The 17408-nt window shown below is 36.2% G+C and overlaps 1 protein-coding gene across 1 annotated transcript in view; it reads left to right on the top strand.

The window, feature by feature from the left end:
• Nucleotides 1-17408, top strand: part of ME1 (malic enzyme 1) — a 220650-nt gene that overhangs the window by 109997 nt on the left and 93245 nt on the right. Inside the window, exon 6 of the mRNA NM_002395.6 lies at nt 5642-5745. Coding sequence (NP_002386.1) covers nt 5642-5745 — 104 coding nt within the window. The remainder of the gene's footprint in view (nt 1-5641; nt 5746-17408) is intronic.

Below are 17408 nucleotides of genomic sequence, written 5' to 3'. Positions count from 1 at the left end.
TAACCCCCTGCGCTTCCTGGGTGCAGCGATGCCCCACCCTGCTTCTCCTTGCCCTCTGTGGGCTGTACCCACTGTCTAACCCATCCCAATGAGATGAACCGGGTACCTCAATTGGAAATGCAGAAATCACCCACCTTCTGCATTGGTCTTGCTGGGAGCTGCAGACCGGAGCTGTTCCTATTTGGTCATCTTACCTGGGAATCGATAATTTTTTAACTTTCTGATTTACTTCAGAATCTCTATCTTGTTCATAAATCTTTGTAATCGACTACATTGTAGTCAGACTTCTTTATGGTGTATACTTTAATTATTAACATGGGAAAGGAGGGAGAAAAGAGAAGGGGAAACGTAGCATTTTTTTCTCAATTGTGTAATTTTTCTAATTCACATTTTAGAAGTCTAAATATATTCTAGACATGGAGAAAGTATTTTAATTCTGGCAGCCATTAGTAGCACATTGGCACTTCAACTTCAGCTGCTCAGAAGCCTGCCAGTAATTGTTTAAAGTTTTTATGCCTTAAGGAACAGCTGCAGTTTACAGCGGCACTTGATTTCAGATTTTACATTTCATCTGAAATATATTTATATGATATAACTTGTTAACTTTCAGCTAGCTGGAAATCCTTAACTCTTCTTATGCAATACATTATAAGTAAGATATATTGGCCAAACCAAGACAATTTCACAACGACAGAGGGTGCCATTACTAATTACAACAGGACAACAAGTGTGAAGAACTGGGCTATAATTTCTGTTGCCTGTAAGTAAACTCCTCTTCAGATTATTCTTAACATCTGAAGGTTTAACCTTCTTAACATCACCCTCTCAGTGGCTTAAAACAATTACTGTTTTATTAATGTTTATGATTCTGTTGGCTGGCAGTTTGGACTGGAATGGCTAGGAAGGCTAGGATGCCTGGCACAGCTGGACCTTTCTCCACATCAGTTCTCATTCTTCAGAAATTGGTCACATTCCACATATAAAATATGCTTATCACCATCCTAGGATTTCAAAAGTTTCATCCCACTAATAGCAACAGGTCCAAAGTTCAAGAAATTGTCATCTAAATCTGATCTAGATGCAAATGAGGTTTCTTGGGTTTTGCTCCTTGGTGGAACTCATTTCTGTGTTCCCACATATCAAACATACAACGGTGAGGCAGGGACAGAATAACCACCATCAACATTCTCATTCATAGCTGGAGGAGTAGGAATCATATGGCTCTAAATGGTACATAGCAATTCTGAAATCTAACTGGGCACATGTTGCCAGGCCACCTACATGGGGAAGAGAAGGGAATATTCTTTGAATAGGGCCCATTAAGTTTCCTCAGGGTGGTTCTGTAGTTCATTGTTCTTTTTTGGGCTTTTGGTTTTGCCTTCTGGGTTCTTGGCTGTGTCCTCTGAGATATCCTTCCTCTTTCATAAGAAATGATCTGTATTAGCAGCTGAATAACTTTCTCAGTCTGCTTCCTGACTACAGAAAATTGGGGACCCAGAGAATTATTTTCATTTGAAGTGTCTCTGTCTTAATAATCCAAGATAGTGCCATACCCTTAAAAACTCTTTAGGCCTTCTCTGTTATCAGATTATACTCTACTCAATTTGACAGAGGCTCCATTCACAATTCTTTCAAAATAGGCCTCCTTCCTATGTTGGCTGGCATGTCAGAGTGATGCGGGACCAGTTCCTTTTTTGTTTTTTTTCCTATCTTTTTATTTTTTATTTTTATTTTATTTTATTTTTTTTATTATTATACTTTAAGTTTTAGGGTACATGTGCACATTGTGCAGGTTAGTTACATACATATACATGTGCCATGCTGGTGCGCTGCACCCACTAACTCGTCATCTAGCATTAGGTATATCTCCCAATGCTATCCCTCCCCCCTCCCCTGACCCCACAACAGTCCCCAGAGTGTGATGTTCCCCTTCCTGTGTCCATGTGTTCTCATTGTTCAGTTCCCACCTATGAGTGAGAACATGCGGTGTTTGGTTTTTTGTTCTTGCAATAGTTTACTGAGAATGATGATTTCCAATTTCATCCATGTCCCTACAAAGGACATGAACTCATCATTTTTTATGGCTGCATAGTATTCCATGGTGTATATGTGCCACATTTTCTTAATCCAGTCTATCATTGTTGGACATTTGGGTTGGTTCCAAGTCTTTGCTATTGTGAATAATGCCGCAATAAACATACGTGTGCATGTGTCTTTATAGCAGCATGATTTATAGTCCTTTGGGTATATACCCAGTAATGGGATTGCTGGGTCAAATGGTATTTCTAGTTCTAGATCCCTGAGGAATCGCCACACTGACTTCCACAATGGTTGAACTAGTTTACAGTCCCACCAACAGTGTAAAAGTGTTCCTATTTCTCCACATCCTCTCCAGCACCTGTTGTTTCCTGACTTTTTAATGATTGCCATTCTAACTGGTGTGAGATGGTATCTCATTGTGGTTTTGATTTGCATTTCTCTGATGGCCAGTGATGATGAGCATTTTTTCATGTGTTTTTTGGCTGCATAAATGTCTTCTTTTGAGAAGTGTCTGTTCATATCCTTCGCCCACTTTTTGATGGGGTTGTTTGTTTTTTTCTTGTAAATTTGTTTGAGTTCATTGTAGATTCTGGATATTAGCCCTTTGTCAGATGAGTAGGTTGCAAAAATTTTCTCCCATTTTGTAGGTTGCCTGTTCACTCTGTTGGTAGTTTCTTTTGCTGTGCAGAAGCTCTTTAGTTTAATTAGATCCCATTTGTCAATTTTGTCTTTTGTTGCCATTGCTTTTGGTGTTTTAGACATGAAGTCCTTGCCCATGCCTATGTCCTGAATGGTAATGCCTAGGTTTTCTTCTAGGGTTTTTATGGTTTTAGGTCTAATGTTTAAGTCTTTAATCCATCTTGAATTGATTTTTGTATAAGGTGTAAGGAAGGGATCCAGTTTCAGCTTTCTACATATGGCTAGCCAGTTTTCCCAGCACCATTTATTTAATAGGGAATCCTTTCCCCATTTCTTGTTTTTCTCAGGTTTGTCAAAGATCAGATAGTTGTAGATATGTGGCGTTATTTCTGAGGGCTCTGTTCTGTTCCGTTGATCTATATCTCTGTTTTGGTACCAGTACCATGCTGTTTTGGTTACTGTAGCCTTGTAGTATAGTTTGAAGTCAGGTAGTGTGATGCCTCCAGCTTTGTTCTTTTGGCTTAGGATTGACTTGGCAGTGCGGGCTCTTTTTTGGTTCCATATGAACTTTAAAGTAGTTTTTTCCAATTGTGTGAAGAAAGGCATTGGTAGCTTGATGGGGATGGCATTGAATCTGTAAATTACCTTTGGCAGTATGGCCATTTTCACGATATTGATTCTTCCTACCCATGAGCAAGGGCAATTAGGCAGGAGAAGGAAATAAAGGGTATTCAATTAGGAAAAGAGGAAGTCAAATTGTCCCTGTTTGCAGACGACATGATTGTGTATCTAGAAAACCCCATTGTCTCAGCCCAAAATCTCCTTAAGCTGATAAGCAACTTCAGCAAAGTCTCAGGATACAAAATCAATGTGCAAAAATCACAAGCATTCCTATACACCAACAACAGACAAACAGAGAGCCAAATCATGAGTGAACTCCCATTCACAATTGCTTCAAAGAGAATAAAATACCTAGGAATCCAACTTACAAGGGATGTGAAGGACCTCTTCAAGGAGAACTACAAACCACTGCTCAAGGAAATAAAAGAGGATACAAACAAATGGAAGACCAGTTCCTTTTGTCTAGTCAAGGTGATCTAGTAGTCTTCACTTTAAATCATTCAGAGATTTCTTAAAAAGTTATTAAAACCACACACTTAATTTCATGTTTGAAGACCTTATTTTGCTATGCACATCTTTTACCAGCAAGTCCTGTGTCCTCTATATTCCTTCAATTTTGCTCACAAACTGAACATTTTCTTCTCTAGCTCTTCTCTGTTTTAGACTTTATTATATAGCCACAAGAAGCCAAGTCAGCATTCTGCCTGGAAATCTCATTAGCCAGATTCACAAATTCATTATTTCAATTTTCTCTATTCTAGGTTACTGAAGGTGTCACTTTGGTCTTTTTTTTTTATTTTTATTTTTTGCAGGTTATTCCCAATTTAAGTCTTTTTGAGTTTCTTTCAGCAATATTTTGTAGTTTCCAGTGTGCAGGTCTTACACATATTTTCTTAAATATGTCCTTATGAATTTTGCATTTTGGGCTGGTATTATAAATGGAGTTGTATATTTTATTTCATTTTTAACTGTCCATTGCAAGTGTATAGAGGTAAAATTGATTTGTGTATATTTACTTTATAAACTGTGATTGTGTTAAATTCATGTATTTTTTTCTACTGGGATTTTTTTTGGTAGATTTCTTAGTATTTTCTATGTACACAATTATATGTGTACAAATAAAAAAGTTTTGCTTCTTTTTTTTTCAATCTATATTTCTTTCTTTTTCTTGCCTTATTGTAATAGCTAGGGTCTCCAGTATAGTGTAGAGTAGAAGTGATGAAGGTAAGTATTCTTGTCTTGTTCCCTATCGTAAGTGAAGAGCACTCAGTCTTTCACTGCTAAATATGCTATCAGCTGTGGGATTTTCATAGATGTCCTTTATTGCGTTAAGGAAGTTCCTTTCTGCTTCTAGTTTACTGAGAGCTTTTGTTATGAATGGGTATGTTATATTTAAATTATATCTCAATTTCAAAACTGATTTAATAAAAGTGATATTACATATTATATATACCAAAATTTACACAGGGCAACATTCTCAGATATATCAGTTTAAGAAACAACTTAAACTGTGTAAAGTTAAAAAATTTAAGAAAACACTAGTAAAGGCTAAAAAATTTATTTTAAAGTCTGTTAACTATCATAGTAAAGGTAAAGTAAAACCATTGTTTGATAATTTTGCTTTCGGAAGTGGAAAATTAAGAAAGGAATTGCTATCTTTCCATTCCTTAAGCTAATATTTCAAAACTAAATGTTATTTCTCTGTGTGATTACCTTTGTCTGTAAAATCTGAATTGCACTTTTCTAATTAACACAAATGAAATATTTTATTTTTTTCTTTTCCTCAGAATAATCTAGAATGTTTTTAACGTTTAGGAATTATTTTTCTTTCTTATTTATTTATTTATCTATTTTTATTGCAGCAGAGTCTCCTTCTGTTGCCCAGGCTGGAGTGCAGTGGTGCGATCTTGGTTCACTGCAACCTCCACCTCCCAGGTTCAAGTGATTCTTCTGCTTCAGGCTCCCAAATAGCTGGGACTACAGATGCACACCACCACACCCAGCTAATTTTTGTTCTTTTGTAGAGACAGGGTTTCACTGTTGTTACCCAGGATGGTCTTGATCTCCTGACCTCGTGATCTGCCTGCCTCAGCCTCCCAAAGTGTTGAGATTACAGGCGTGAGCCACTGCTCCTGACCAGAAATTATTTTTCTTATTTGGTGTATAAATACTACAGGTATATTCTATGTAACATTAAGTAATTACCCTGTAGGTTAATTCTGAATCAGTATGGTAAGATTTTATTTCTATTTTTGTCCCTTTTATACAGATGAAGAAACTGAGGCTCAATAAATGATTTGGTTATAGTTATTTCTATTTTTATGGTAACTTTTTTTAATAGGAGTTACTTAAAGATCCACTCTACATTGGACTACGGCAGAGAAGAGTAAGAGGTTCTGAATATGATGATTTTTTGGACGAATTCATGGAGGCAGTTTCTTCCAAGTATGTATCTTTATTTAACCTATATTTTAGTCAGTAACAATAACATAACAGACTATTAAAAAATCCAAGATTTATGCAATATGGTTTAATAATTAGAAGTAATTTGAATGAAAAATGCATATATCCTATCTATTTCCTCATAACTGTTAATGGACAAATGATAATATCATGTGTCTATCCAGAATAGATTATTTCTGTTGCTGTCCCTGAATATACTTTTTTTTTTACAAGAACCTTTAGAACCTGTGGCTGTTGAAATGCATGATTATGGTAAAGGAGGCAGTGACCAGTGACTAAATTACCTGCAAACCTTTTTACATTTATCGACAATCTGTACTTTCTGGTTGATGATAAAATCTGATCTTCAGTCATCTTTGTAGCTGGTATTTGACTCTCTTATGGTCAACCACCAGCCACAAAGGAAAAGCAGAAAAAGAGGTGGGGATTGAGCATGAGTTGGTACAGTCCACAGGGGTCCAGAATGGAGCAAGGACAGGGCATTCCATCATGATCCATGCATCTCTGATTAAATCTATAATATTTGATTAAAATGCAGTGCTATGTAGGTTGAGAGTCTCTTATCCAAATCACCTGAGACCATTAGTGTTTATGCAGATTTTGAAATATTTGCATATATATATAATGAGATGGTACCCATATCTACACAAGAAATTTATTTATGTTTCATATAAATCATATACACATAGCCTAAAGGTAATTTTATGCAAAAGTTTAAATAATTTTGTGTGTAAAACAAAGTTTATGTACATCGAACCATCAGAGGCAAAGATGTCACTGTCTCAGCTACCCATGTGGACAATGTATGGTTGTTTGGCATCACCATTATCCCTGATTCTGAATTTTATATGCTAGCAATAAGCAATCATTTTTTGCACTTATCATGCATAAATCCTTAACAGTATAAAACATAATATACCATTAATGCAATGAAAAAAATAATGTGTTCAGGGTAACTGGTGGCATCATATCAGCGCTCAAAATGTTTCAGATTTTGGAGCATTTTGGATTTTGGATTTTTGGATTAGAGATGCTCAACCTGTATCTTTTTAAGTTAGCATTTGATTGTGGGCCAGATGCTATTGTAAATTTTTCCATTTTTTTTCAGAAAAGAGACTCCCACCATAATTTAGTAATATATTCTAAGAGAATTTTATCACACTGACAGTCATCCCTTGGTTACTGTGTAGCCACAGAAACCACATACTATTTAAAAACACATATGTTGCCTTGGTTTTTCTTAGAAATAAAGTCATCACTAGAATTAACTCTAACTAGAGATGCACTTCTGGTTTCTTTTTATTATAATGTTTATTTTTAAGAAGTTTTATCCAACAGCAGAAAGTGCTTTCATCAGCTTGCACAACATTTAGAATGCATTGAACCTCTCATTACTCAAGGTTTTAATGCTGGGTACATTTGCCAATTAGTATGGACTACATTTTAGAACCACATGCTTGATTTATTTATTGTAATTATTTGAACTATACTTATTTATAGAAATAGTTGAGAAACTCTGCAGTTTGAGATCACATAATACAGTTAATTTCTAATAGTTTTTTATACTTAAAGTGCCTTATCTTGTGAAACGCTCATGTAAGGTTTTGAAATTATCCAACTTCCTCAGTAGCAACATTAATCAAGAGATTGTATAGATAATACCGTAAGGCTATATAAGAGGAAAGGAAATGCAGTCTGGAATAAAGTCTATCTAAATAAGACAACTTTAACAAACAGACGCTGCTAACAAGTTAGGTGCACTTAAACGCTGATGAAATAAGGGGAGAAGGAGTTTTTATTATTGGGAATCAATGAAAAGTTTTGGGAAAAAATGAGATACGAACAAATTTTGAATATTTTATATCAATCCAGAATGAAGAAAACTGTTTTTTTTTTAAATGTGGAATTGAGGAGTTACCTTAGTTCTTTGTAAGGAAACAGGGATTGACAAGTGTAAACAATAATTTTAAATGTAGATAGCACCTATGAATCAGGGTTTGTACTTCCAGAGAAAAATGCCAAAGACTAAAAAAATACTTTCTGTCATAACATTGTTTCAGGAAAATGATCTAGATGTGAAACCTAACACTACCCAATTAAATTGGGAAGTTGTAGTGAAGATAAACCCAAGATTATTTTAAAAAGAAACATAACTTAAATTCAAAGTGGGAAATGATTGTTACAGGTTACCTAGACATCAGACTCTGAGATAGAGTTTATTAAGGAGTACCCTTGGGCCAGGCACAGTGGCTCACACCTTTAATCCCAGCACTTTGGAAGGCCGAGGCAAGCAGATCACTTGAGGCCAGGATTTGGAGACCAGCCTGGCCAGCATGGCGAAACCCTGTCTCTACTAAAAAATACAAAAACATTAGCCAGGCATGGTGGCGTATGCCTGTAATCCCAGCTACTCAGAGGCTGAGAGACGAGAATTGCCTGAACCTGGGAGGCGGAGGTTGCAGTTAGCCAAGATCACACCACCCCGCACTCCAGCCTGGGCAACAGAGCAAGACTCTTTCTTAAAAAAATTAAAAAAAAAGGAGTACCCATTGGGATAAACCTCTTTGGAGGAGAGGACATAGTACAGAGGTTATACTGCAACATGGACCCACCAATAGCCATGGATAACTTAGTTGGGATTACCCCTGCCTGCTGTTTAGATACTTACATGGACACTAATTTCTGCCCATCAACCTCCCTCTCTTTCTCCTTCAATGCCCATCAACCTCCCCCTCTTTCTCCATCAATGCTATGTTGGTTTTTTTTATTTGCCATCTTGGCAGGTTTAGGGTAGAGCAGCTTCAAATTCTTCCTCTCGGTCTTCTCCACAATGAGAGCTCTTCACTCACAGGCTGAGGATTTGATATGGGTCTTGTGGCACTTACCAAGTCTGTCTTTTCTGATTACACATCTAGGGTCTGAGGAATCACCACCAGGTGGGTCTGTGGTGACAGTGGACCTATTATGAGCCAGAACTTGGCTGGGGCTCCATTTATTACTGGCTCCTGTATGCCTCTACTCTAACAGGGAGAGGGGAACAGTGTTTTGATGCTTCAAGTCTCCAGGTATCAGTGTCAACTGTGTGCTCATTAGTTCTCAGACATTTGAATAGTCCTTCTCCAGTGCATAGTTACTTGGGTAAAGGGCTGTAGTTCCCTGTGGATAAAGATTAGGGGGATTATTACCCTGTATTCTTGTCATGGTGTTATAAGGTTCTTTCTTCTGGGAACTAGGCCTCTTCTTCAGTTTATGGGTTCTGGGTCTAAAAATTAACTCAGGTTCGGAAGCTGAGCAAGAGATTGTGACTTCATTGGGGCAGCTACACTCAACTTTGTGGTCATTCATCTTTGGTTTCTTTTGATAGTAAATATTGAGTAGTAGCTTTGTTAGCTCTCCGTTTTGCCTCTAGGGATGCAAGATTCCGTTAATTATCTCAAAAACATTTTGTGGGTTAGCCACACACACCCCACTTTTGCCACTCTTATGATAATTGTGTCCATCTGGCTTCTGATTGTTAAGCATTCTCACCTGGTCTTAGCATCCTTATTGCTATCAGTCAGGCTGGTTATATATCATCCTTTTCTTCTGTCACTCCTGACCTTCAGGGGAGAACCACCACTGAAATTTTTAGTAATGTTGATGTCTTCTCATTGGCATATTCCTTATGGCTTTGGGAAATGGTGTGTTTTCTGGGCCTTCCTGTGGAATATGTTCATCTTATGGATTTTCTGGCTTTTACATGTGTCTATATACCAGACTGCCCAGTTCTCTGAGCCTCGCAATCCCCTCTTCTGTCATTTGCCACAGCATTCCTGGCATTTCAGTCATATTAGTATCAGCCATTAATTTGTCCATGTTTCTAGGAACCATCCTAGCAATGAGTTTGCACCATCTTCTGGGATTCTTGCCACATGTTAAATCCTGTATCTCAGGAGAGTGCCTGCAAATCAGTAAGCTCTCCCTTTTCCTAGGTTCCAGCCCTTTTAATCAAACACCCTCAGAATTTAATTCTACATGTATTCTCCTGGCTAATACAAATACTGGTCTTGTGGCTCCTTTGGGGTAAAGTCTCTTTCTTCCTTTATCAACTCTAGTATGTCCCAGATAGGTTATATTGTGATAAAACCTTAGTTATTGGCCCAGGGATCTGGAGGGGAGGCAGAGGTAGATGGTAGTTAAGGGGCACATGTTAACTTATGGGGGTGAAATCTCTACCCTTATCATCCCAAGAAAGAAGGGGAAGGCCACTTTGTGAGATGCGAAAGCTCTGGGGGAATCTGGGGATTCAGGATTTCGACAGACATCAAACCAGACATCCCATTCCATGTGGCAAATTCCCATTCTTTTGTAACTAGGATTCTGACTTAGCAGATCTGCTTTCCTTGAGTTTGGGAGCTTGAATATTCTGATGATTGAGCCCTGTTTCTGGACATAAGCTTTCTCTACCCAGCAGCTACAGAAGCTGAGAACATCTTTGTATCTACAAAGGAGGGCCTCTGGCTTTCTTGTTGGCAATTACTTTCTCTGAGCTTTTTGTGTTTTTTTTCCCATTGTCCTTATAGTTACTCTACTTCTCTCATATTTCTCAAACATCTGAAATATCATTCTAGCTAAGATGTTCCCTTCCCAACATCTCAACTCACCTCTGGTGAGTTTTAATAGTTGGACTGCTACCTTGGACCGGGCATGTGCTCCATCTTCTACCAGTGGTGGGGTCCTCATTACCACTGCAGCAGTGAGTTAACCAGTGCCAAAGCCCCATCTTATTACCAGCTTTCTCAGACTATTCCAAGATTAGGTTACCTGGGAGGCACATTCGGAAATGAAGTTTAGTGTTTAAGAGGTTTGTAAGAAGTGCCCTTGAGATTAAACTCTGTGGAAGAAATAACAAAGGAAGCAGGAATGGGCAGAAGGAGAAGTTGAGCTGCCTGCAGGCACCATGACAGCTTTCCCTGATCCCGTGGGGAACTCTGAAGCTACAGTGGCTTTTCAGAGTTGTTACCAGTTGGGCTGAGATGGTCAAGGCTTTATATTCCTGCATCAATTAGTCACTGGATGTGGATGTGGGTCACTCTGGGAAAGAGCATAGGTCGTGGTCTGTGGTGAAACGACTCTTTGCAGCTGAGGCAACCCCCAGGACAACAGTGGGGGATCCGAGGGGCATATCATGATATTCAGCATAATTTCTCAATTCAGAAAGTATTGATTAATTAGCTTGGATATTAATTAGCATCTCTAGTGGAGTAGCACAAATCCATTTCCTAGTACTGGCCTGTTCAACAAATTTATCAATTGGGCCTAGTAATTCTACATCTGAGTATATAGGTTAAGAAAATACTTTAAAATAAGAATATAGGTAAAGGAAAAATTTGAAGCCCAACATACAGAATTTCTTCTCTTTGCTTCCAGGATAGCACACTCCCCTTGCTTTCCTCCTGCCTCACTGATTGTTCCTTCGTAGTTTTCCTCAGCTTATTCCTTTTCATCTTCCCCACTCCCTGCCAGCTGTAAACATTAGAATGCTTCGGGGCTTGAAGCTTGAAACTTTTCTTTTTGCTATTAATCTCCACTTCCTTGGTAATCTCATCAAGTCATACATCTTTATATTTGTGACTCCCAAATCTTTATCTCTAACCTGTACCTCTTCTCTGAACTTCAGAATCACGTGGTAAAACTCCACTTCACATTTATACTCAGATCTGTAATAGACATAGCATATGTAACATGTCCAGACTTGGACTCCCAATCTCCCACTGACTCCCAGCCCTGCTCCTGTTGCAGCCTTTCCCATCTCAGTAAATGACAACCCCATTCTTCCTCTTCCTGTGACTAAAAATGTTGGAATTACCACTTTGTACCCAGGCCACCTACAAAACTTAGTAGCTTTAACTACAGAATGTATCCAGAATCTAACCTTTTCTCATTGTCAGTATCATTACTTCTCTTAACTGAACCTCTTTTACCTGGATTATTGTAACAATTTTTTAACTGTTAATGAAATTCTGCTTCCTCCTTTATTGCCCTTTAGCCTGAAAATTCTGTTTCACTGCTTCCTCCTTTATTGCCCTTTAGTCTGTCCTCAACACAAAAGCTGTGATGGTTCTGAGGTAATTTCTCTGCTCAAAACCCCAGGAAAGCTTATCATTTTATTCAGAATAAAAACAAATTCTTGCAATAGTGTAAAAGGCCCTGAGACTTCTGGCTTCCTGTTACCTTTCTCACATTATCTCCTCCTAGTTTCCCCCCTTGCCCACTTTGTTGTGGCCTGTTTGCTATTTTTCTAATTCAAACTAGGTCAAAGCTTGTCTTTCTGTCTACTTGACATCCTCACCATACCTGCCTCTGCCCAGTTTTCCACATGACTAGCTCTCTCACCTCCTTTAACATTTCCTCAAATATCCTTTTCTCAATAAGGCCTTCTTTGATCAACCTATGTAAAATTTTACCCTCAGCCCACTTTCCTCTTTTCATACATTTATAAATATCTGACATATTTGATATTTAATTATTTATGTTCTGTCTCTATTCATATACTGTTAAGTTCTATGAAAGCAGGGAGTTTTCTTTTTCCTCCACTGCCATATCCCTAGTTTCTAAAAAGTTATCTAGTATGTGATAAGTACTCAATAAATATTTGTTAAATGATGGTAAAATTTGATTTGTTTTGTTTATATAGCTTAAAATGAAAAGTATGAATGGAAGAACTTATTAGAATTTCTTTTCATGTGATTTAATTTCAGGAAATATTAAAGCTCTTAAATATGTGTGTTTGTTTTTGTAGTTGTACTCCTTATAGTATCCTTTTTTTTTTTTTACAGAATCAGTTGCCCCTGAAAATTAATAGAAATATAGAGACAGCTTCAGCTTTACTGCCTAAAATTCTCTATATTAGAATTTCATTAATGATTATTAACTAAATGAGAACAAAAGCTTTACCTCAAGTAAGCTTTTAAGAACTAATATTAAATTTTTTAAATGGAATAAATAGCTAATATTCAACAAAGACTATATTTAAAAATTGTGTTCTTTTTTATTTTAAATGACAAAAATTAAAAGTTATTGGGAAGCACTAGGAATGGCCACAAACGTAGTTATTATACTACACCCTCCTTCAACCTTGGCTGCCATCACAAATTGTTCTGTGATCTGTCACATAAAGTTTAAGAGAAATAATCTTAGTCTGAAGCCATATCATCTGCCATTTGCTGCCAGGTGTGATAATGAGGTTTTCATACAATTATGCTTTTTTTGCTGAGTAGTGTTGAACAAAAGTCTTGGCTGTGTGCCTGAAACAGACCAGACTAGTCAGAGATACTATCAAGTTGGTAATAGTCCTTGAGGGTCACTTATCAGATTTCAAGATATATAGCCTGTGAATTATCATGGCCAGATATACTAAATTTATTTCTTTAATTATTAATATCATCTTTTCTAAAGAAGGCATCAAATATGTAAATTAATATGTGCTCTTCACCCTTATTCAGGGTTGCAGTTAGATAGAGTTTCGTCCAACTCTACACTAAATCCCTGGCTTCCCAACAGGGAAGGGTCTTTTTCTACTGCCCTCCTTCTTTCTCCATTTCTTCTGCAGTTAATTTCATGGCTAACTTTCTGTACTACCTTTTTCTACCTGTTCTAATCATTGCTTTTTATGCCTGATCATTTTTTAGATGACGGGGATATATTTATAACTTACGTGATTTTATCTATAAGTCTGTGAGGCTCTTTAGATTCCACCTGTCACTTTGATCAGCATGAGTTACTTTGCTTTTCATAAGAAATTTAATGAAAGCATATGATTATATGGGATTCCACCTGCTATTCTTCCCTGTGGACCCAGGGTGAAATAACCAGGTGAAAAAAATAAAATGCAAAGAATGTCTGTCAATGTGAGAAAAATCAGCAGTCATGTTACTAGGGAACATGACTCAAATCAGGTTTCTGACTCAGAATTTTTTTCCATTTTCCCATCCAAAGAAAGATCAGATTCACAATTAACTATAGCCATATTTTCCTTAAAATCCCAACTATTTCTATTTATACCATTCTCTCTACTTTTTTTTTTCAAGTGAACAAAAATGGTGGGTCATGAAAGAATTAGAAATCTAAAGGTATGCATTATGTGTATGTATGTGTAAAAACATGTGCACTTATATTCCATAATGGATTTAAAGTGGATGTATACTTCAGTATTTTGATATTTGATTTGCATCCCTGTCAGTATCCCAGTCCAACCTTGGAGAAGCCAGAACTTTAGCAAGTCAAGTTTACTGTTTCATTCTGAACATGGTTTACAACTCTTCCTTTTAGATGCTTTTTGTGCCTAATTCCATTTTATTCTAATCAATTGCATTAATTCCACCATTCCTTTAATATGGATATAAATGTTTTACACTGTTTTTGTTCTGGTTACATGAGTCTTATGCATGCATTATTTCATTTAACCCTATTTTCCTTACTAGAATATAAGCTGTGTTAGAAAAAGTACTGTATTATCAAGGGATTGCTTTTTTCTGACTATCCCATATTATATTTTACCCTACAGTAGGCATAAAATAACTGCTGTTGAAAGCATTATTTAAGCATTGAGTCTAATGTTCTTGAAACTACAGTGGCATATATCTGAAGTAAAGGTAGCTCCCCAACATAAACTAGAGAAAGACACAGTTTTCCAAATAAAGAGTCTCTGCCTATAGTAAACTAAAGATTTGAGTTTTAATTATATGGATACATTTATGTTTTAGGTTGTAACTTTTATCTAAAGAAAAGAAACATTTTAATAAATTCCTGTTGTATCCATTGTTACCTATCTTTTTCTCTTAGAATTTGTAAACATTGAGATTTATATAGAGAAAGCCCTTAATATTTTATCTGAATTTATTAAAGCTAAATTATTAGATTATTAAAGATAATCATTACGATTTGAAAATTAGATTATTAAAGATAATCATTATGATTTCAAAATAATCTGTATACCATGTTTCTTTTCTGTATCTCTCTCCTTTTTTATTCTCTTAACTTTAATTTAGCAAGATTAAGCCCAGTTTCTTAAAAGCTTGTGTTTCTTATTGTTTTCCATCTATAGTCCCACATATAATAAATTAGAAAATAAGAATGATACATCCGCTCATTGGTAACATAAAAAAAGAAGATTCAATATGATTTCCTGAGTTATAGATCAACCTAAAAACAAAACAAAAAACACTATCAATAGCAATATCTTGTAGGTTAAAATAAGGTCTTTTGTTTATAATATTTTTTCTTGCCATCCTTAATTTACGTGTGTTTATAGACAAAGGTAAAGCAGGTATGAACATGTGAAAGCAATTTACTTTTCCTTTTGAAAGACCATCTATGTGGCTGGTTTGGGGAAATCTTATAACAATATTAGAATGAAGTACATATATTTTAATTATTAGAGATTAAAGATGCGGAAAGGAAAAGAATAATTAAAGAGGCAAACTTAGAAAATTGATTTGGGGGTAAGGTCAGAAATTAAGGGTACTTTTTTGGTTCTGTAGGAAATTGAAACCCTAATTGCAACTAATATCGTATCTGGACCTAACATTAGTATTGACAGTCAGTGCATTTCAGTTAATGAAAGCCAAAGTCCTTATAATGGCCCTCAAGCCCTGATGTGGCCCCCTTCCTGACCTCTATGATGTGCTCACTCTCCTGCACCCACATTCTCCACGCTGCCTGTACTGTCATTGAACTCTCAAGGCATGTTCCTTAGAATATTTTCACTTGCTTTTCCCTCTGTCTAAAATATTCTTCTCCCAGAAATGTGTTTGGTTAAAAACTTAATCTTTTTCATATATTAGCTCAAATCTTAACCTTCTTTTGAGGTTTACCCTGACTACCCTATGTAATACTGAAACCTGTCCCATCTTCTCCCCACCCTGGCTCTCCTGATCACCCTTGTTTTGCTCTACTTTTCCTTTTTTAAAATACCACTTATTACCATTATTCATTTATTATGTTTATGCTTATTGTGTGTTTCTTCCACTAGAAGATATGCTGTCAAGGACAGGGATCTACTTTGTTCATTTTATGAACAAGTTCCTTCCTGTATCAATGCTTGGCACAGAGTAGATAAACAATAAATATTTGTTGAACTCAATTGAGATACTTAAAGGGAGGCCACACAAGACAATGTGAGTGGTTTTGCAGAAATCTTTCACCATTACTAGAAAATTATTTCATTTAAACATGTCTTATTTTTATTGAATTACTAGCATCATTTTTATATGGAAAGGAGAGCCATCAGCACATGGTAAGTAATGAATACCCGATTGTCTCAGGTCCCAGAAGCAGATTATCCCTCAAGGAATTAGAGGTTAGTTCTAAAGTTAGCATGTTACATAGAGTAATCTAACGACATTTAATGCAAGTTGGTAGTAAATATTGTTTGAGCTGACATATGTCAAAGTCTCATTATTTAAAGCTACAACAAAATTTGTATAAAATTTGCCATAATCAAAATGTAAGAACAAAATAATCATTCCTGTTGCCAAGATGATCACATTCTGGCTAACTCAATTTTCCATGATTTGACTGTTACTTTTATTTCACTAACTATAAAGCAAGCCAGAATTAACACAGTGTGCCATGTTTTTTATTTTACCAATATGTAGTGATTAATTCTCAAGAGTGTTTTTCTTTGTGGTATCCACAGATGGTGACCCACTTTTTTCATATCCTCATGAAAATAATATCATATTCTGTATATACATGGTAAAAATGCCACATTTGTGAATAGAAAACAAAATAAGCTATTGTTAAAGTTTTGTTGACCAATATTGTTAGATTGAGATGTGTCGAAATTTAGATGGAAAGAAAGGCTCATCCTACTGAGCACAGGTTGGAATGGTGCTGCCTGGGACAGGTTTGCAGTCCATTTCTTCAGAGGTGTCATAGAATGACATTTCTTAATTCAGTTAATTTACCATGGTTTGGAGCCTGACTCTCAGCTCAGGAAGTTTAGAAATCTAATTTTGACAGCTTGCAAAGCTCATATCTCAGGTACATGTGATAAGTAAAACTTGCACTTTGGAGTCAATCCTCAGCTCCACCAACTACTACATTTGTAACCTTGGAAAAATTACTTACCTTCCTCAAGGCTTAATTTTCTTGCCTGTAAATTGGGGTAAAATGCTAATAGTACCTTCAGTAGTACCTTCAGACAGTTGTTATGATGATTGAGAGAAAACATATAAAACAAATTACTTTTATCAAGTGCTATAAATAGTAACTATAATTTTTATTTTTCAGGAAGGATTACTAGGACCATAATTTAGTTAAAAGATGTAGGCTGGCAAATTTGGCTTAATATTAAATAGAGCATTTAATAGTTGGAATTGTCCCCAAAGAAAATAATGTATATAAAAGTACTTGCACATAAAAATTACTCAGAGGTTGTTATTCCTTATTGTTTCTGTTGTTAATATTATTTGTGAACTCTCCATCACTCTGAGAACATGGACAGATGTGCTTAAAGATATAAAGATTTCTACTTTTATGTGAGATGATGGATTAGAATTAAATGTTTCTAAAGTGTTCCAACTTTAGGATTCTATGAAAGTGGTAAAAAAAAAATCGTATTTTGTTTCAACATTCAGGACTGGTTGTTTCATAAAATTCAG

This window comes from Homo sapiens, chromosome 6 (assembly GCF_000001405.40).
Source record: "Homo sapiens chromosome 6, GRCh38.p14 Primary Assembly".
Classification (NCBI taxonomy): Eukaryota; Metazoa; Chordata; class Mammalia; order Primates; family Hominidae; genus Homo; species Homo sapiens.
This window is presented reverse-complemented; position numbering and strand designations above follow the sequence as displayed.